Source organism: Homo sapiens, chromosome 17 (assembly GCF_000001405.40).
Source record: "Homo sapiens chromosome 17, GRCh38.p14 Primary Assembly".
NCBI lineage: Eukaryota > Metazoa > Chordata > Mammalia > Primates > Hominidae > Homo > Homo sapiens.
This window is the reverse complement of record NC_000017.11, coordinates 75879357-75898152: the sequence shown is the minus strand read 5'-3', so window position 1 is coordinate 75898152 and position 18796 is coordinate 75879357. Positions and strand designations below refer to the sequence as shown.

The 18796-nt window shown below is 54.8% G+C and overlaps 1 protein-coding gene across 16 annotated transcripts, besides 5 other annotated features; it reads left to right on the top strand.

The window, feature by feature from the left end:
* Positions 68–775: an enhancer, noted in NCBI's record as "H3K27ac-H3K4me1 hESC enhancer chr17:73893459-73894166 (GRCh37/hg19 assembly coordinates)". NCBI's record gives its function as "activates a minimal SCP1, AML or CMV promoter by ChIP-STARR-seq in naive and primed H9 embryonic stem cells {active_cell/tissue: H9 hESC(naive and primed)}" and the evidence as "EXISTENCE:reporter gene assay evidence [ECO:0000049][PMID:30033119]".
* Positions 776–1485: an enhancer, noted in NCBI's record as "H3K27ac-H3K4me1 hESC enhancer chr17:73892749-73893458 (GRCh37/hg19 assembly coordinates)". NCBI's record gives its function as "activates a minimal SCP1, AML or CMV promoter by ChIP-STARR-seq in naive and primed H9 embryonic stem cells {active_cell/tissue: H9 hESC(naive and primed)}" and the evidence as "EXISTENCE:reporter gene assay evidence [ECO:0000049][PMID:30033119]".
* Positions 776–1932: a biological region, named in NCBI's record as "H3K27ac-H3K4me1 hESC enhancer GRCh37_chr17:73892749-73893458".
* Positions 853–1332: a silencer, noted in NCBI's record as "silent region_8994". NCBI's record gives its function as "represses an Ori minimal core promoter by ATAC-STARR-seq in GM12878 lymphoblastoid cells {active_cell/tissue: GM12878}" and the evidence as "EXISTENCE:reporter gene assay evidence [ECO:0000049][PMID:35858748]".
* TRIM65 (tripartite motif containing 65) lies at positions 1202–18616 on the top strand. 16 transcript variants are annotated; one of them, XM_047435583.1, is made up of 7 exons: positions 1202–1629; positions 5303–5398; positions 5653–5886; positions 5968–6142; positions 6275–6340; positions 6806–6876; positions 17524–18616. In XM_047435583.1, exons 1-7 carry the CDS (start codon positions 1216–1218, stop codon positions 17584–17586), a joined length of 1119 nt encoding a protein of 372 aa, XP_047291539.1. In that variant the 5' UTR covers positions 1202–1215; the 3' UTR covers positions 17587–18616. The 16 variants fall into 16 exon arrangements, 15 of the variants coding, with proteins under 15 accessions (XP_047291539.1, XP_011522801.1, XP_011522802.1 ...); XM_011524499.3 differs by having other exon boundaries at positions 5614–5886; XM_011524500.3 differs by lacking the exon at positions 17524–18616 and adding an exon at positions 15414–15648 and having other exon boundaries at positions 5614–5886.
* Positions 1363–1932: a silencer, noted in NCBI's record as "silent region_8993". NCBI's record gives its function as "represses an Ori minimal core promoter by ATAC-STARR-seq in GM12878 lymphoblastoid cells {active_cell/tissue: GM12878}" and the evidence as "EXISTENCE:reporter gene assay evidence [ECO:0000049][PMID:35858748]".
* Positions 18617–18796: the final 180 nt, after the last annotated feature.

The following is an 18796-nucleotide window of genomic DNA, read 5'->3' as shown; positions in this document are numbered from 1 at the left end:
CCACCCCATGCTTGGGAGGAGAAGCCACATTAGGTAGGCAACAGCGTGTCTCAAGAGACCTGCTCAGGGTCAGAAAACCCATGGAGTCTTGCGGCTGGATGGTTAGGTGTTTTGTTTCTCCCTTACCAAAAGCAGAAGTCTGGCTAACTAGTAGGTGGAGGGTAGATCCGTGCACTTTGTCCAGAAAGAAACTTCGTCTATGGCCGCACAGAGGACGCAGTGCTTGCTGCAGCAGTGAGAGCTCGTGCCGCCTCAACATCAGCCCAGCTTGGTTAGAAAGGCCGTACTCTCCTGGGGTTCCCCCTGGCCTGATACACACTGTCAGGTAGGTGGGCGCTAGGCCCCAGACCCGCCTTGCCTGCTCAGCTTCAGGGGAAATGCTGGAGTGCCTGTAAATACTGAGGCTGCAGATCAGCTTGGACCCCAGGCAAGGAACTCTCCCCAGCGGAGGGCAGCAGGAAGAGGGGATGCTGATTGCAGATGAAAGCTGGTTTGTGTATTCATTCAGGGCCATTTGAAAAATACCAGTTAACTGGTCCCTGTCTCTTGGTGACCAGACATTTCCATCTCGCTGTTTACTTTAAAAGAACCAAAATTACGTGTAGCCCAGAGAAGGGAGACACCCCAGTCTGGCAAGTGTCCGAAACCCAGCTCCAGGAAAAAGTGCAGCAGTGCTCGGGTCTGCAGGGAGCCCGCCAGCCCGTTTCATCGCCAAGCCCCGGGGGATTGTTGGGGGTGGGGGTCTATGCTGTTAGGCGACTGGCAGATGAGTCCAGAAGAGGTTCCGCGCGGCCCGTGGTCAGAAGCCCGGAGTCCTGGCGGGGTTTTCGAGCCTCTGGTCTCCAGGACCTGGGCTGAAGGCCCAGGGGGGTGGGATGGACCCGCCAGGCTGGGACCCTAGAGAGCCGAACTCAGCTCTCAGCCGGGGTGGCGTGGACCCTAACGGAGGGAGGGGCGCAAGGCGGGAACGCGGAACCTTCGAGCGGGCCAGGCCGAGGTGGGCAGGGGTGGCCTAGGCCCCTGCGGCGGTCGCTCGTCGAGGGTGTCAGAGAAGGGCCTGCCGCCCCCCTCCGCCTTCCCGGGCGCGGATCTCGCCCCGCCCCGCCCGGATCTCGCCCCGCCCCGCGTTAGCCACGCCCAGGCGCCCTCAGCGCGCGAGGCCCGCGGTCCCTTTAAGACGCCCGGGGCCCGCCTGGCTCTCGCCGCCGCCGGGCCATGGCCGCGCAGCTGCTGGAGGAGAAGCTGACCTGCGCCATCTGCCTGGGGCTCTACCAGGACCCAGTGACGCTGCCCTGCGGCCACAACTTCTGCGGGGCCTGCATCCGGGACTGGTGGGACCGCTGCGGAAAGGCGTGCCCCGAGTGCCGGGAGCCCTTTCCCGACGGCGCCGAGCTGCGCCGCAACGTGGCCCTCAGCGGCGTGCTGGAGGTGGTGCGCGCCGGGCCCGCCCGGGATCCCGGCCCCGATCCCGGCCCCGGCCCCGACCCTGCCGCGCGCTGCCCCCGCCACGGGCGGCCGCTGGAGCTCTTCTGCCGGACCGAGGGCCGCTGTGTGTGCAGCGTGTGCACCGTGCGCGAGTGTCGCCTCCACGAGCGGGCGCTGCTGGATGCCGAGCGCCTCAAGCGCGAGGTGACGCATCCGCCGGGAGCGGGAGGGGTCCGGACCCGCCGCAGCCTGGCCACCGCCGGGTGACTCCTGCGGGCCGCGCCCTGCTCTCTCGGGCACCCGGCGGGGGCGGGGAGCCTCATCTGTAAGGGGCTTCTCCCAACCTGGGAGCTGATTATAAAAGTCGTGGGTCTGCCAGGCGCAGTGGCTCACGACTGTAATCCCAGCACTTTGGGAGGCCGAGGCGGGCGGATCACGAGGTCAGGAGATCGAGACCATCCTGGCTAACACGGTGAAACCCGGTCTCTACTAAAAATACAAAAAGTTAGCCGGGCGTGGTGGCGGGCGCCTGTAGTCCCATCTACTCGGGAGGCTGAGGCAGGAGAATGGCGTGAACCCGGGAAGTGGAGCTTGCAGTAAGCCGAGATCGTGCCACTGCACTCCAGTCTGGGCGACAGAGCGAGACTCCGTCTCAGAAAATAAACAAACAAAAAATCGTGGGTCTGTGCATCAGACTGGGATATGCAGCCCGGCCAGTGACACAGGGTGGGTCTCAGAAGCTGCTCGGTGCCCTCTGGATGAACAAAGCCTGGGCGTGAGGCAGCAGCTCCCTGCTCCGTGCCCAAGCGCTAGAGAACCGTCGTGTGTCTCCTGCGCTCCGAGAGCCTCCTTTCATTCGCTGTGCGGGGTTGTGGAGGGCGAGGGGGCTATGGGGGCTGTTGGTAAATGGATCAGACGAGCTCCCTGCCCTTAAGAGACTTAGAATCCACTTAAGAAGTCAGTGTTCCAGTAAGGCGTGAATGTATTATTACAAAATGCAGTGAGGAAAGCACATGGCATGTGATAGAGGGGTTGGGGTGACCCTGCTAAACGGGCCAGGAGGAGGAAGGGGAGGCCGCCTTCAGGCTGGCATGTGAGGATTGAGGAAGCGCAAGCCAGGAGAAAGACCTGGGGAAGAGCATTCTAGGCAGAGGAATCAGCCTGGTCCCGTCTCTGGGATGGGAAAGAACTGGGCACGCGGGGTCCCTAGTGGCAGATTTGTGCCACTGAGATCTGTGGGCCAGGCCCTGGGGGTCAGCAGGGGCAGGATCGGGCAGGGTCCTGGGGGAGTCTGGCTCTTACTGTAGGGTCATGGGGGCCATTATAGGCTTGGAAGCAGGTTGGCACATGATCAGATTTGGGCTTCATGGAGACTGATCACCTGGCTGGGGGCTGAAGGGGGCAGGATGTAAGACCCGAATCGGGTAGGAGTGCAGGGAGGCAAAGAACCAGCTGGGGATCAGGGAAGGGAGACCAAGATGGAGGAGGAGATGAGAAACGCTGAGGGGAAGTGGTACCTTGTGGAGGCGAAAGCAGGCCAGAGGGGACACGGGGGACAGCAGAGAGGGCGGCAAGGGAGACACCTGGGTTTCTGTCTTGAGCACGCAGGTGGCTGGGGTGCTATGTCCTGAGAGGCGTAGGTGGAGGGCAGAGTTTGGCCTTGGACATATAGAGGTCACAGTGGCCAGTGGGACAAACCAGGGGACGGGCCTGTGGCACCTGGGACCCTGGCCCCAGCCCTGCCGCGCGCTGACCCCGCCCCGGGCAGCTGCTGGAGCTCTTCTGCCAGACCAAGGGCTGTTGTGTTTGCAGCTTGTGCACCATGAGTGAGGGTCACCTCCTCAAGTGGGTGCTGCCGCCAGGAGCAGGAGGGGGCCGGACCCCCCGCAGCCTGGCCACCACCGGGTGCAGTGGCTCACGCCTGTAATCCCAGCACTTTGGGAGGCGGAGGCCGGTGGATCACGAGGTCAGGAGATTGAGACCATCCTGGCTAACATGGTGAAACCCTGTCTCTACTAAAAATACAAAAAATTAGCCAGGCCTGGTGGCGGGCGCCTGTAGTCCCAGCTCCTCTGGTGGCTGAGGCTGGAGAATGGCGTGAACCCGGGAGGCGGAGCTTGCTGTGAGCTCCAAAGCTCAGGAGCGGGGAGCTGGAAGTCGAGAGCTGGGAATCATTAGCGCTAGGAGGAAGAGAAGGTTCCAAGCTGGAGCTCCCAGGGAGATGGGGAAGGTCGGGGGAATGGCAGCCCTGTGTGGCACCTGGAGACAGGGGTGCCAGGAAGAGAACGGGCAGGATGCCCATGCTGATCAGAGGCTCAGTACGAGGACAGAAATGACCTTCAGCATCGGTACTGTGGAGGTGGTCCGTGCCCTTGACAAAACCCATTTCAGCAGCGAAGACAGGATGTGGAATCATTCGGGGACAGAGGAGGCCTGGGGCTAAGGCGTGGATGGAGGATGGCGCAGGGACGCTGGATGGGACAGGAAGGGAAGGGGTGGCCAGGAGGCCTGATGGGCAGGGAGGGATGGGAGAGTGCACGGCTGGGGGTCGGTGAGGTGGGAGGACTGAGACAGAGGTGGCTGGAACAGGAGAGGGCACGAAGGCAGTGGTCAGAGAAGGAAGAATCGATGCCTAGAATGGAGATTTTAGAGCTGGTGACAGGGCCAGGGTGAGTTCACAGGAGCGGCTGAGATGAGGTGAAGGAAAAGGGCTCCAGAGTGTTGCGGGACATTCCTTGTAGCTGCTGAAGCCGCCGAGGAGGATGAGACGAGATGTACTGCTCATGGGCGGGTGCAGAAGACTGAGCTAGGCACGGAAGTTTGAGTTGGAGGCCGGTAGATGAGGGCCATGTGGAGGAAGGGAGCGACAGGGGCAGCCAGTAGCACCAGGGGAGCCAGGATTTTGCAAGAGAGAGGGAAAGGGACATGGGGGTGCCTGTCCCTGGGGGAGGGTTGGGTGCCCTGGGAGAGCCTGCCCTCCGGCCTCCTGTGTTCCTGTGTGAAATGCTGGAGGCTGGGGGCCCGGAGGAGCTCTGGGCTTAGGAAGATCTGAGGACTTTGACCAAATTATCAACTTCTCTGAGCCCGTTTCCTCCTCTGTGATGTGGGGATAGTAATGGTCCCCATCTCAGTGCATTGCGGGAGGAGCAGAAACAAGGTGGTGAAGCTTTTGACCAGGTGCTGGGAATGGAGCCCCTGGGACCTGCGTGGTTTGTCCTGCTCTCATGAGAGCACGGTGTTTTGATTCCCAAGGGACTCAGGGAGCGCAACCGAATAGGGGTCCCTTCCTCCCCTCTCAGTCTCAAAACTAGGGCCAGGGACTGGCCGGATCCCCAGAAGAATCTAGTTTATCCAGCAAGTAACTGCCCACTTGTCAGACAGCTTTGGTGCTTTGGGAGGTCCCTGCAGTCAGCTTCTCAAGCCCCAGGGCCTCCTGGGCCACTGACCCCTCTGCAGTGAGACAGGGACCAACGGCTTTAGTGTTTGGGGTCCTCCCTGCGAGGCCTCCTGAGCCAGCATTATCGCTTTCCTGTATTGATGGGTGGGGGGTTAGGCCCAGAGAGGACAGGTGCTTGGCCTCAGCTTGCTCAGCATGCAAGAGGTAGAAATGGGAATGGAAGTTGGGTCCTGAGCCCAAGGCTTCCGCTCTGCTCAGGCACCACCCTGCTGCAGATTAGGAAGGACTTTGTCTGGACCCCCCCGGGGCACGGCCCCAACTCTCCCTGGGTTAGACCGAGGCCGGTGCTCTGGAGGCTGGCCTGGGGTGGCGTGGGGAGGGGCTGCCTGGTGTCTGCAGGCATGGTTGGTTGTCTGAGAAAGGACATCACAGCCAATCCTGGCCTTCTCTTGTTGCTTGTCCCGTGGGCCCGCACCACAGGCCCAGCTGAGAGCCAGCCTGGAGGTTACCCAGCAGCAGGCCACCCAGGCCGAAGGCCAGCTACTAGAGCTGCGCAAGCAAAGCAGCCAGATCCAGGTACGAGGCCTGTGCCTGCCCGCCCACCATGGCCTCACACTGCATCCTGGGGCGGCCACCAGCTGGTCCCTGGAACACCAGGCAGCAGGGAGCGGGGCTGAGCAGGGAGCTGGGCACAGGGGTCCTGGGGAGGTTCCCGGGACCCTGCCTCCCCACATCCCTGACCCTCAGCCCAGCAGGCAGCCCTGGCCCTAGCCTCCCTTGGTATGGCACAGGGCCCTGGCCACCCTGAAGCCCCTCCTGTTCCCGCCCAGAACTCGGCCTGCATCTTGGCCTCCTGGGTCTCCGGCAAGTTCAGCAGCCTGCTACAGGCCCTGGAAATACAGCACACGACAGCACTGAGGAGCATCGAGGTGGCCAAGACGCAGGCGCTGGCACAGGCTCGAGACGAGGAGCAGCGGCTGCGGGTCCATTTGGAGGCTGTGGCTCGCCATGGCTGCAGGATCCGGGAGCTCCTGGAGCAGGTGGATGAGCAGACCTTCCTGCAGGTGCGAGGGCTCAGGGCATAGGTGGCGGACTTGCTTCCCTGCCCCTCAGGCCCAGGCTTACTTGTTCTCCCTGGGGCTCAGGAATCGCAGCTCCTCCAGCCCCCAGGGCCTCTTGGGCCACTGACCCCTCTGCAGTGGGATGAAGACCAACAGCTGGGTGACCTGAAGCAGTTGCTAAGCCGGCTGTGTGGCCTCCTCTTGGAAGAGGGGAGCCACCCTGGGGCACCAGCCAAGCCTGTGGACTTAGCCCCCGTGGGTAAGACTGACCCCAGGCCTCCCCCTGCTGTCCTGGGTCCAGCTGCCCCTCCCGCTGGGGGGGTGGAGGCGGGTCAGGGCCCACACATCGTGACCTCTCCAACCATTCCCTTAACACTGCTTTGCCCCCTAGAGGCCCCAGGTCCCCTGGCACCGGTCCCAAGCACAGTTTGTCCACTGAGGAGGAAACTCTGGCAGAGTAAGGAGGCCGTTCGTGTATGTGTGCCCCTGTGTGTGCGTGTGCAAGGAAGTGCCTGTGTGTGCTGTGAGCACGTGTGTGTGTGCATGTTCGTATGCACGTGTGAGTGAGGGGGGCACTTGTTTTGACTGTCCTGCCGGGACATCTGAGCCTGGTCCCACCCGCTGCACACCTCGTGCACATCCACCCTGAAGCAGACGCAGCCAGTGTGCGTTGAAGGACAGAGTCTGGGGCACAGACCCGTAATTCTTCCACTTAACACTGAGTTAATGGCTCTCAGAGCCCCAGTTTTCTCAGCTGTGAACGGGGCTGATAGAGGATTCCGCCTGCGAGGTCGTGGCGAGGATTAAGTGCTATGGTGACGGCCGGTGCTCAGCGTGCCTGGCGGAGGTTTAGCAGCGGATAAATGGAGATCTGGTTGTGCTGTCTTCCCCCAGCCCACTGCTGTCCTCCTTTCCCCAACAGATTATCGCAATCTGACCTTTGATCCAGTCAGCGCCAACCGTCACTTCTATCTGTCGCGCCAGGACCAGCAGGTGAAGCACTGTCGTCAGTCCCGGGGCCCAGGCGGGCCCGGCAGCTTTGAGCTCTGGCAGGTGCAATGTGCCCAGAGCTTCCAGGCCGGGCACCACTACTGGGAGGTGCGCGCGTCAGACCACTCGGTGACACTGGGCGTCTCCTACCCGCAACTGCCACGGTGCAGGCTGGGGCCCCACACAGACAACATTGGCCGGGGACCCTGCTCCTGGGGGCTCTGCGTCCAGGAGGACAGCCTCCAGGCCTGGCACAACGGGGAAGCCCAGCGCCTCCCAGGGGTGTCAGGGCGGCTCCTGGGCATGGATTTGGACCTGGCCTCAGGCTGCCTCACCTTCTACAGCCTGGAGCCCCAGACCCAGCCCCTGTACACCTTCCATGCCCTCTTCAACCAGCCCCTCACCCCCGTCTTCTGGCTCCTCGAGGGTAGGACCCTGACCCTGTGCCATCAGCCAGGGGCTGTGTTCCCTCTGGGGCCCCAGGAAGAGGTGCTCAGCTGAAGAAGGCATGGGATGGAGCCCTGGCATAGCTGCCACCATGCCTATGTGCCCAAGAGCTGCCCAGCTTCAGCTTGGGGACTGGAGGACCAGCTGTTGGCCTCTCTGTTAACTCAGAAAGAGATGGGAGGTTGGGGGAGGTGAGCATAAACGCAGAGTTCACTGTTGCAGCCTTTTTGAAGGGGACACAGTCTAGGAGGGGGATAAATGGGATGCCCTTGCCCCAGAGAGAACCCAGTTCTAGGTACTGTCTGGGCCTGGGAGGCGAGAGCAGTGCCCAGGGGACTTCTGGGCTTACAGGACAGCGTGTGTGACAAAATTCAGATCTACCTGAACTTGCCTCTGGAGATGATAAGGGCCAAAGGAGCAGTCAGGGAGGGGCGGTGAGCCAGAGTAGTCCCAGGGGGAGACAGATTCCTCCCTCCTCCCCGCCTGCAGCTCTCTTTAATTTTTTGTAACATTTGGAGAGACGTCCGTCCTGTCTTGTAGTCTTTTTATTTTGTGCATCCTTATAATTGTATTCTACAAACAATTTTGTTTTCTGCATTTAAACATTTTTGTGTTTTTAGGAGATGGTCTTGCTCTGTCACTCAGGCTGGAGTACAGTGGCACAATCATGGCTCACTGCAGCCTCGAGCTCCTGAGCTCAAAGGATCCTCCCACCTCAGCCTCCAGAGTAGCTCAGATTACAGTGTTTTCTGAAGTTTCCTGACTTAACATAAGCATTTTTCACATGATTGAAAATTTTCACTGATTGCTGTAGTCATTCTAATGACTATCAAGTTTATTTATCCATTATTGGACATTTAAATTTCTTTCTTTTTAGCTATACAAACATTGATGTGTTTTTTTTGAGACAGGATCTCCATCTGTCACCCAGGCTGGTGTGCAGGGGTGCGGTCATGGGCTCATGGGATTCTCCTACCTCAGCCTCCTGAGTAGCTGGGATTACAGGTGTATGCCACCACGCCTGGCTTATGATGAATATTTCTGAGTGGGATGTTTGGCCACATTTATGGTCATGTATGTAGGCTGTTACCTCAAGTGAGTCACTCAGGGAACAATGAGCACTTGAAGATTTTTTTATACAAAAGGCCACAGTGAGGCCACCTTGAGTCAAGCCGACTAAGGCCCCTCAACCCTGTCACTAAGCAGCACGTGACACTGGCAGGACCTTCATCTCCAGCATCCCACCCCTGGGTGTGGGACTTTGGGGCAGCCGTGTGTGCAGGTGTCGGCACAGGCTAGCTCCTCCTGGTTTGGTGTGGTGTTTGCCATTGCAGAGCAAGCTGCCACGAAGACCCCTGGGCATGATTTTGCTTGTATTTCCGGAAGTGGGGTTGCTGGGTCATAGGGCAGGTGTAATTTTTTTTACTTGAAATGTTCCACTTCTTGTTCTGGGAGGTGGTTCCAAGGGTGTCTGCTTTTGGCCAGGCGCAGTGGCTCACGCTTGTAATCCCAGCACTTTGGGAGGCCGAGGCAGGCGGATCACAAGGTCAGGAGTTCGAGACCAGCCTGGCCAACAAGGCAAAACCCCGTCTCTACTAAAAATACAAAAATTAGCCGGGCATGGTGGTGTGCGCCTGTAATCCCAGCTACTGGGGAGGCTGAGGCAGAAGAATCGCTTGAACCCAGGAGGTGAGGTTGCAGTGAGCTGAGATTGCACCACTGGACTACAGCCTGGGTGACAGAGCGAGACTCTGTCTCAAAAAAAAAAAAAAAAAGGGAGGGCTGTCTGCTTTTTGTAACTTGAAAAACTGGACATCTATGTTATATGTACTCATGGATAAATATTTCACAATAAAACTTTTTAAAAGGATAATACGTGTAATATACATACCCCCAATATATATAATGTTTTTATATTTGTAAAAAAAAAAAACCTCCCACGACGACCCCACCCCGATCACTGCCGTCATTGCAGCCTCCATCTTGTGGCCCTGCTCCTAGCCTGTGGCTGTTTGTTCAAGAGCAGGGCAGGGCCTTGGATTGGCACAGCCCAGGCAAGGACTTTCCAGCAAGATCCTCAGGTGGGAGCTCCCCAGACATGGGAAGGGAATCTGACATGTGCAGCCCCACAGCCAGGAGGCGGGCAGGACCTTGCTGACCAGCTAGGGGCAATGGTGGGAGCTGAAAGCCCAGCCAGGCAGGATGTATTGGCCTGGCCAGATGGCTGTCATTGCTGTCCCCACCTCATAGTCCCTCCTAATCCAAGGCTGCAGCAGAAGCACCCAACGGGCTGAGCCGCGCTCTGAAAGGGGCAGAGAGAGGAAGAGTTGGCCCCTTTCTGCTTCTGAGGTGGGAGGTGTTTGGGGTCATTTATTATGTGAAATTCATCTTCCTATTGGGTGGTGGTTCTTTCTATATTCTGCGAGCGTGTTCTATATTATTAATAATAACCCCTTTTTCTTTCTTTCTTTTTTTTTTTTGAGACAGAGTCTTGCTCTGTCGCCCAGGCTGGAGTACAATAGCGTGATCTCAGCTCACTGCAAGCTCCGCCTCCCGGGTTCAAGCGATCTTCCTGCCTCAGCCTCCCGAGTAGCTGGGATTATAAGCGCACACCACCACACCCGACTAATATTTATTTATTTATTTATTTATTTATTTATTTATTTATATATTTTTTGAGACAGAGTCTCACTCTGTTGCCCAGGCTGGAGTGCAGTGGCTCAATCTCGGCTCACTGCAAGCTCTGCCTCCTGGGTTCACACCATTCTCCTGCCTCAGCCTCCCAAGTAGCTGGGACTACAGGCACCTGCCACCACGCCCAGCTAACTTTTTGTATTTTTTAGTAGAGACAGGGTTTCACCGTGTTAGCCAGGATGATCTCGATCTCCTGACCTTGTGATCCACCCACCTTGGCCTCTCAAAGTGCTGGGATTACAGGCGTGAGCCACCACGCCCGGCGTAATTTTTGTATTTTTAGTAGAGATGGGGTTTCACCATGTTGGTCAGATTGGTCTCAAACTCTTGACCTCGTGATCCACCCGCCTGGGCCTCCCAAAGTGCTGGGATTACAGGCGTGAGTCGCCATGTCCGGCCCCCCTCTTTTCTTCCTAATGGACAGCCTCCCAAGTCAACATAGGCTCAGAGACTCCCACCCTTTATCTTTTTTTCTTTTTTTTTTTTTTTTTTGAGACGGAGTCTCACTCTGTCACCCAGGCTAGAGTGCGGTGGTACAGTCTTGGCTCACTGCAACCTCTGCCTCCTGGGTTCATGCCATTCTCCTGTCTCAGCCCCCAGAGTAGCTAGGACTACAGGCACCCGCCACCATGCCCAGCTAATTTGTTTTGTTTTTGAGACAGGGTTGCACTCTGTTGCCCAGGCTGGAGTGCAGTGGAGCAATCTCAGCTCAGTGCAACCCCTGCCTTCCACATTCAAGTGATTCTCCTGCCTCAGCCTCCCGAGTAGCTTGGATTATAGGCGCCCACCACCACACCCAGCTAATTTTTGTATTTTTAGTAGAGTCATGGTTTCACCAGTTTGGCCAGGCTGGTCTCAAACTCCTGACCCATGTCATCTGCCTGCCTCAGCCTCCCAAAGGGATCCACACCTGGGATTGCAGGTGTGAGCCATTGCTTTTTTTTTCTTTTTGCTTTTTCTCTTCTTTTTTTTTTTTTTTTTTTTAAGAGATGGGGCCTCACTCTGTCACCCTGGCTGGAGTGCAAGGGCAGGATGCAACCTCTGCCTCCCGGGCTCAAGTGATCCTTCCTCCTCCTGCCTCAGCCTCCTGAGTAGCTGGAACTACAGTCGCATACCACCTCGCCCAGCTAATTTTTAAATTTCTTGTCAAGAATGGGGTTCTCACTGTGTTGCCCAGGCTGGTCCTGAACTCCTAGCTTCAAGTGATCCATGCCCAGCCAGCCGAACTGATTCTGATAGAACTCTCCACCGTCTCTCCAGGAAAACGCACGCTGGTATCGAGGGAAAAGGCAGCACAGAGTTGGGATGTGACATTTGGAAAGGGGACGTGTTTGATTAGCTTGTGGGTGTTTCCAGCATGTCTGGCCTACCCACCAGACCCCCTTACAGATTCTGGGCTTCAGTTGTGCACAATCAGGTGGATGGTCACCCAGAGACAGAACAAGGGCAGGAGAGGTTGTGAAAGACAGGGACCTCACAGGCCAGCTGGATTGGAGGGAGTTGGATTGGAGGCCAGAGAGGTGTATTAGTCTGTTTTTGTGCGCTAATAAAGACATACCTGAGACTGGGCAATTTATAAAGGAAAGACGTTTTTGGTTTTTTTTTTTTTTTTTTTTTGAAACGGAGTCTCGCTCTGTCACCCAGGCTAGAGTTCAGTGGCACAATCTCGGCTCACTGCAAGCTCCACCTCCTGGGTTCACGCCATTCTCCTGCCTCAGCCTCCTGAGTAGCTGGGACTACAGGTGCCCGCCACCACGCCCGGCTAGTTTTTTGTATTTTTAGTAGAGACGGGGTTTCACCACGTTAGCCAGGATGGTCTCGATCTCCTGACCTCGTGATCCGCCCGCCTCGGCCTCCCAAAGTGCTGGGATTACAGGTGTGAGCCACCGCGCCTAGCCAGGAAAGAGGTTTAATGGACTCACAGTTTCACATGCCTGGGGAGGCCTCACAATCATGGTAGAAAGCGAAGGAGGAGCAAAGGCATGTCTCATATGGTGGCAGGCAGGCAAGGAAAGCGTGTGCAGGCGAACTGCCCTTTATGAAACCATCAGATCTCGTGAGACTTATTCATTACCATGAGAACAGCATGGGAAAAACCAGCCCCCATGATTCAATTACCTCCCACCAAGTCCCTCCCACGACACGTGGGGATCATGGGAGCTGGGATTCAAGATAAGATTTGGGTGGGGACACAGCCAAACCATATCAGAGGTGAAGGGTAAAGAGAACAAGGGGATGTGCCTTTCCAGGCAGGATAGGAGCAGGACGCTGCCTGGAACTGAGGCTTTGAGTAGCATCAAGCTGGAAGGTAGAAGACAATGGAGCCAGCCCTTGAGATCCTGGGGGACTGGATTTCCATCCTAGGATTCCATGCCCAGCCAAACTGTCAGTCAGGGATGAAGCCCGAACAGAGACACTTGCAGACACGTCAGCCTCCATCCTCAGGAAGCACCCAGAGGGCAGACTTTTCAAAAATGAAGAAGTAAATCAGTGAAGGGAAAAGGGAGGTCTGGGATCCAGGAAACGGGGAATTCAACACAAAGGAGAAGTAATCAAGCATCTGCAGTCTCCAGAAACATGAGCACAAACAAGCTGGCTGGGCGCGGTGGCTCCCGCCTGCAATCGCAGCACTTCGGGAGGCTGCAAACCTCCCTAGGAAATGTGGTAACACACCTCTCTACCAAAAATACAAAAATTAGTTGGCCATGGTGGTGCACACCTGTGGTCCCAGCTACTTGGGAGGCTGAACTGGGAGGATTGCTGGAGCCCAGGATGTTAAGGCTGTAGTGAGCTGTGATCTCACCAGCCTGGGTGACAGAACAAGACCCTTTCTTTAACTAAATAAATAAATATTTAAAAATTAAAAAGTTACACAAGGCTTAGCAATGTCTTGAGTTAAAAAAGGGAACCTGGGGCTGGACACAGTGGCTCACGCCTGTAATCCCAGCACTTTGGGAGGCCGAGGCAGGTGGATCACGAGGTCAGGAGTTCGAGACCAACCTGGCCAATATGGTGAAACCCCGTCTCTACTAAAAATACAAAAATTAGCTGGGTGTGGTGGGCACCTATAGTCCCAGCTGAGGCTGAGGCAGAAGAATCGCTTTAACCCGGGAGGCAGAGGTTGCAGTGAGCCAAGATTGCACCACTGCACTCCCGCCTGGGTCACAGAGCAAGACTCTGTCTCAAAAAAAAAAAAAAAAGGAACTCAAGTGGGGCGAGGTGGCTCACACCTGTAATCCCAACACTTTGGGAGGCTGTGATGGGCGGATTACATGAGCCCAGGAGTTCAGGACCAGCGTGGTCCTGAAAACCACGTATATGGTGAAAACCCATATCTACAAAAAATACAAAAATTAGCCTGGCATGGTGGCGTGCGCCTGTGGTCCCAGCTTCCTGGGAGGCTAAGGCAGGAGGATCACCTGAGCCCGGGATGTTGAGGCTGCAGTAAGCTGTGATTGTGCCACTGAACTCCAGCCTGGGCAACAGAGTGAGACCCTGTCTCAAAAAAGAAAAACAAAAAAGGAGAGCAAGAAGGAACCTTAAACGGCTTAGAGATGTGGAGGCAGACGCTAAAAGAAATCATTACAAGACTTGAGATTGGTTGTCCATGGGGAGTCAGTGGGACACAACATTACTAGTTTTTGTTATAAGCCTTGTTAAATTGTTTACTTTTTTTTTTGAGACGGAGTTTCGCTCTTGTTGCCCAGGCTGGAGTGCAATGGCATGATCTCGGCTCACTGCAACTTCTGCCTCCTGGGTTCAAGCGATTCTCCTGCTTCAGCCTCCGGAGTAGCTGGGATTACAGGCATGTGCCACCACGCCCGGCTAATTTTTTGTATTTTTAGTACAGATGGGGTTTCTCCATGTTGGTTAGGCTGGTCCTGAACTCCCCACCTCAGGTGACCCGCCCGCCTCGGCCTCCCAAAGTGCTGGGATTACAGGCGCGAGCCACCGCGCCTGACCTAAATTGTTTACTATCTATCTATTTATTTATTTATTTTTTGAGATGGAGTCTCACTGTCACTCAGGCTGGAGTGCAGTGGCCCAATCTCGGCTCATTGCAACCTCTCCCTCCTGGGTTCAAGCAATTCTCCTGCCTCAGCCTCCTGAGTAGCTGGGACTACAGGCATGCACTACCATGCCTGGCTAATTTTTGTATTTTTAGTAGACAGAGGGATTTGCCATGTTGGCCAGGCTGGTCTCAAACTCCTCGTCACAGATGAGCCACCGCACCTGGCCTGTTTACTTTTTAAATAATATAAATATATTCATTTGACATTCATACAAACCAAATGTTTAAAAATACATAAAAAGCCAGGCGCGGTGGCTCACGCCTGTAATCCCAGCACTTTGGGAGGCCGAGGCGGGTGGATCACAAGGTCAGGAGATCAAGACCATGCTGGCTAACACGGTGAAACCCCCTCTCCACTAAAAATACAAAAAATTAGCCAGGCGTGGTGGCAGGCACCTGTAGTCCCAGCTACTCGGGAGGCTGAGGCAGGAGAATGGGATGAACCCGGGAGGTGGAGCTTGCAGTGAGCCAAGATGGCGCCACTGCACTCCAGCCTGGGCGACAGAGCGAGACTCCGTCTCAAAAAAAAAAAAAAAAAAACTTGTTCAGAGACAGTGAGAAAAAAAGACAATGAAACAAACAGAAAAACAAAAAAGCTTTTTAACCAAAAAACAAAATAAAACAAAAAAGTACATCAAAAGCATAAAGAAGGCTAGGCACCGTGGCTCTTGCCTGTAGTCCCAGCAATTTGGGAGGCCAGAGTGGGTGGCTCACCTGTGGTCAGGAGTTCAAGACCAGCCTGGTCAACATGGTGAAGCCCCCTCTCTACTAAAAATACAAAAATTAGCTGGTCGTGGTAGTGCACGCCTATAGTCCCAGCTGCTCTGGAGGCTGAGGCACGAGGATGGCTTGAACCCAGGAGGCGGCAGTTGCAGTGAGCCGAGAGTAAGCCACTGCACTCCAGCTGGGGGAAAGAGTGAGACTCTGTCTAAAAAAAAAAAAAAAAGCATAAAGAAAAGGAAGTGCTGTTAGGGACATGGTGTTTGGATCCCCTTTCAATAATTTTCAGAGACAGAAGAAAAGCTAGAAATAGCTTTTCAATTACTGTCATCACCGGATTGCTTTTTGTTTTTGTTTTTTTTTTTTCCAGAGACAGGGTCTTAATGTGTTGCCCAGGCTGGTCTCAAACTCCTGAGCTCAAGTCCTCGTGCCTTGGCTCCCAAAGTCCCAGGATTATAGGCGTGAACCACCACACCCAGCCACTTGTTTTTGTTTGATTTTTTTCCTTTTTTTCTCAAGCACTACTACTACAGCCAGACAGTCATATGTGAGATTTATAATTATTCAAGCTGCAACCTCTTGAGCTTAAATTCTGCTTCCTCTGCAGGACAAGTTATGTGACCTCTGGCAAGACATGGTACCTATCGGAATTCCAGTTGCCATCCTTTAGGATAGGGTCCTTGGACAGACAGAATGAGGGCAGGTGTGAACATGCTGAGCTCACATGGTGCCAGTTACCCTTGCCCTTGACTCTTAGACAATTCATTTTGAAGTGAACTAATACACTAGGCAAACAACTTCAAAACTCTGGAAATGGAAATGAAATAGCAAGATGCCAGGCTGGGCGCGGTGGCTCACGTCTGTAATCCCAGCACTTTGGGAGGCCGAGGCAGGCAGATCACCTGAGGTCAGGGGTTTGAGACCAGCCTGGCCAACATGGTGAAACCCCATCGCCACTAAAAAATACAAAATTTAGCCGAGCGTGGTGATGCATGCCTGTAATCCCAGCTACTGGGGAGGCTGAAGCAGGAGAATCGCTTGAACCCAGAAGGTGGAGGTTGCAGTGAGATGAGATTGCGCCACTGAACTCCAGCCTGGGCGACAGAGCGAGACTCCATTTGAAAAAAAAAGAAAAGAAGTAGCAAGATGCCACCACACTGACAAACCGCATCTCTGTGCTTTCCTCCTGGGGAGCAGATCTTTTCAAGCAGGGAGGACAGCAGGCTGTGGGTGGGGAGCAGAGGGTTGGCTGGGACCCAACCGGAAAGGCACCCCCTCCTTCCAGAACCAGGCAGGTTTGTGGCCTCACCAAACCCAGGCAGCCTGGGCACCAAAGCCACGGAGCAGGGTGGCACTGATGCCTGGGCCTCCCAACCGCTCCTGGGGCTTGGCAAACAAGTGATAGTCCTGATCAAGTGCTCTAGTGCTCTTGGTGGAAACCAATGTATGGAACTCATTACCCACCCTCCTGCCAAATCAGACACACCCAGGCCGGCTCCCTCTGCTACTCCCTCTGCCCGGAAGGTCTTTTCCCACCCCAGTCTCTGCCCGCCTGAGTCCTGGCAGTCTGTGAAAGCCCAGCTCAAATGCCACTTCCACAGTTCCCCAGCCTTTCCCATGGAGCCCCCAGGAGCAGATTGCACCGCTCTTTTGGCACTTGGAGTTGCAACAGTCTGAATGTGTGTGTACCCTCAGAATTGATGTGTTGAGATCCTGACCCCTAAGGTGATGGTCCTAGGAGGTGGGGTCTTCAGGTGGGCGGAGCCTCATTCATGGCATGAGTGCCCTTGTCCAAGGGGCCCCAAAGGCTCTCTGGCTGTCTCTTGGCCATGTGAGGACACAGTGGGAAGGCAGCCATCTACAACCCAGGAAGCAGCTCTCACTGGAACCCTGACTGTGCTGTCACCGTGATCGCAGACTTCCAGCCTCCAGAACTGTGAGGAGTGTCTGTTGTGTATAAGCCACCCAGTCTCTGGTGTTCTGGGATAGCAGCCCAGACACACTAAGACAGGGGTTCCTGAGTGCCTGGAGAGCCAGCTCCCTCCCCAAGAGGCTGGGTCCCTCCTTCTTTCTTTCTTCTTTTCTTTTCTTTTTTTTTTTTTTTTTTTTTTGAGATGGAGTCTCGCTGTGTCACCGAGGCTGGAGAGTACAGTGGCACAACCTCTGCCTCCTTGGTTCAAGCGATTCTCCTGCCTCAGACTCCCGAGTAGCTGGGAATACAAGTGTGTGCACCACCACGCCCGGCTAATTTTTTTGTATTTTTAGTAGAGATGGGGTTTCGCCATGTTAACCAGGCTGGTCTGGAACTCGTGACCTCAAGTGATCCGCCCGCCTCAGCCTCCCAAAGTCCTGGGATTCCAGGCGTGAGCCACCACACCCGGCACATTTGTGCTCTTTTGCTTGTGTTTTCTCCTCTTTAGCTCTGAACTCATGAAGTGCCTTCTGAACATTTCTAGTCTGGTCTCAGGGGACCTGAGGGTATTTTCCCACCCCCCAAGCCTAGAGAGCTGGGGAAACAGAGGCAGGAATGCAGACCCGGTGGGAGAGGTGGACAAGGGTTTGGGTGTGGGACAAGCAGCAGTGTGTGCTGAGGTTTAGGGAAGGGCCAGGGTCCTGGAACACAGAGAGGGCCAGGAACACCGGGGGACATGCATGACCTCTAGCACATTTGGGCCTGGGCCTCTCTCCAACATTTCCTTACTTATGCACTGTTATAGGTTGAATCCTGTTCCCTGAAAAAGACGTATTCGGATCCTAACCCCCAGGACCTGTGGCTGTGACCTTATTTGGAAATAGAGTATTTTCAGATGTGACTGAGTTAAGATGAGGGCATACTGGAGTAGAGCGTGCCCTAATCCAACAACTGGTGTCCTGATAAGAGGAAATGGGCACCGGGCACAGTGGCTCACGCCTGTAATCCTAGCACTTTGGGAGGCTGAGGCAGGCAGATTACTCGAGCCCAGCAGTTTGAGTGGGCAACAGAGCAAGACTCCCTAAAAAAAAAAAAAAAAAGGACATTTGAACACAGACACAGAGAAAAGGCAAATGACAACAGAGACTGATATTAGAGCGCATCTTACAGCTACAAGCCAAGGAACGCCAAGAATTGCCAGCCAGTACCAGAAGCTGGGACAGACGCCCAGGACAGAGTCTCCCTCAGATCCTGCAGAAGGAAGCCACGCTGCAGCACCTTACTGAAACACAGCATTTCTTTCTATTCCAAATGGAGAGAATACACCAGAGTGGTATGAGCAGTTACCTGTGACTTTGTCACTAACCAAAATTACAGATATCTCTGGGTGCGGTGGCTCATGTCTGTAATCCCAGCACTTTGGGAGGCCGAGGCGGGTGGATCACCTGAAGTCAGCAGTTCGAGACCAGCTTGGCCAACATGGTGAAACCCCGTCTCTACTAAAAATACAAAAATTAGCCAAATGTGGTGGCGGGCGCCTGTAATCCCAGCTACTCAAGAGTCCGAGGAGGGAGAATCGCTTGAACCCAGGAGACAGAGGTTGCAGTGAGCTGAGATTGCGCCACTGCACTCCAGCCTGGGCGACAAGAGCGAAACTCCATCTAAAAAAATAAAAATAAAAAAACATTATTTGGAATTTTCAATGCGAAATATGTCTGTTCTCCCCAGCTTGTTAATTTATTATTTATTTATATCGGCATGGACTCATAGATGTTTATTTTACACTTTGGGTTATAATCAGTGCTACTTTACTTATTTTGTTGTCATTCTGGTGTAGTGTTTTAACTTAACATTATTGAGATATAACTCATACAATAAAACGCACCACTTTAAGTGCATAATTAGATGAGCTTTAAATACTTCCAGTTGGGGAACCCCCAACCCCACCACAGGTGTCCCCAGTGTCCAGGGGCCAGAACTACATTCCTCAGACAAGGGACTTAGGGAATGACGTCAACTTCCCATTTCAGGTCTAGAAAAGTCCAAGTTCCCTACTTGGGGTAAAGAGTCGCTAAAGG

Excerpts from the sequence above, each read along its gene's own strand:
- TRIM65 (XM_047435580.1), top strand. The coding sequence starts at position 1,216 with ATGGCCGCGCAGCTGCTGGAGGAGAAGCTGACCTGCGCCATCTGCCTG. Across the intron at positions 5,887-5,967 it reads ATGAGCAGACCTTCCTGCAG|GAATCGCAGCTCCTCCAGCC; the intron begins GTGCGAGGGCTC and ends CCTGGGGCTCAG. Across the intron at positions 6,341-6,805 it reads GAGGAGGAAACTCTGGCAGA|ATTATCGCAATCTGACCTTT; the intron begins GTAAGGAGGCCG and ends TTTCCCCAACAG.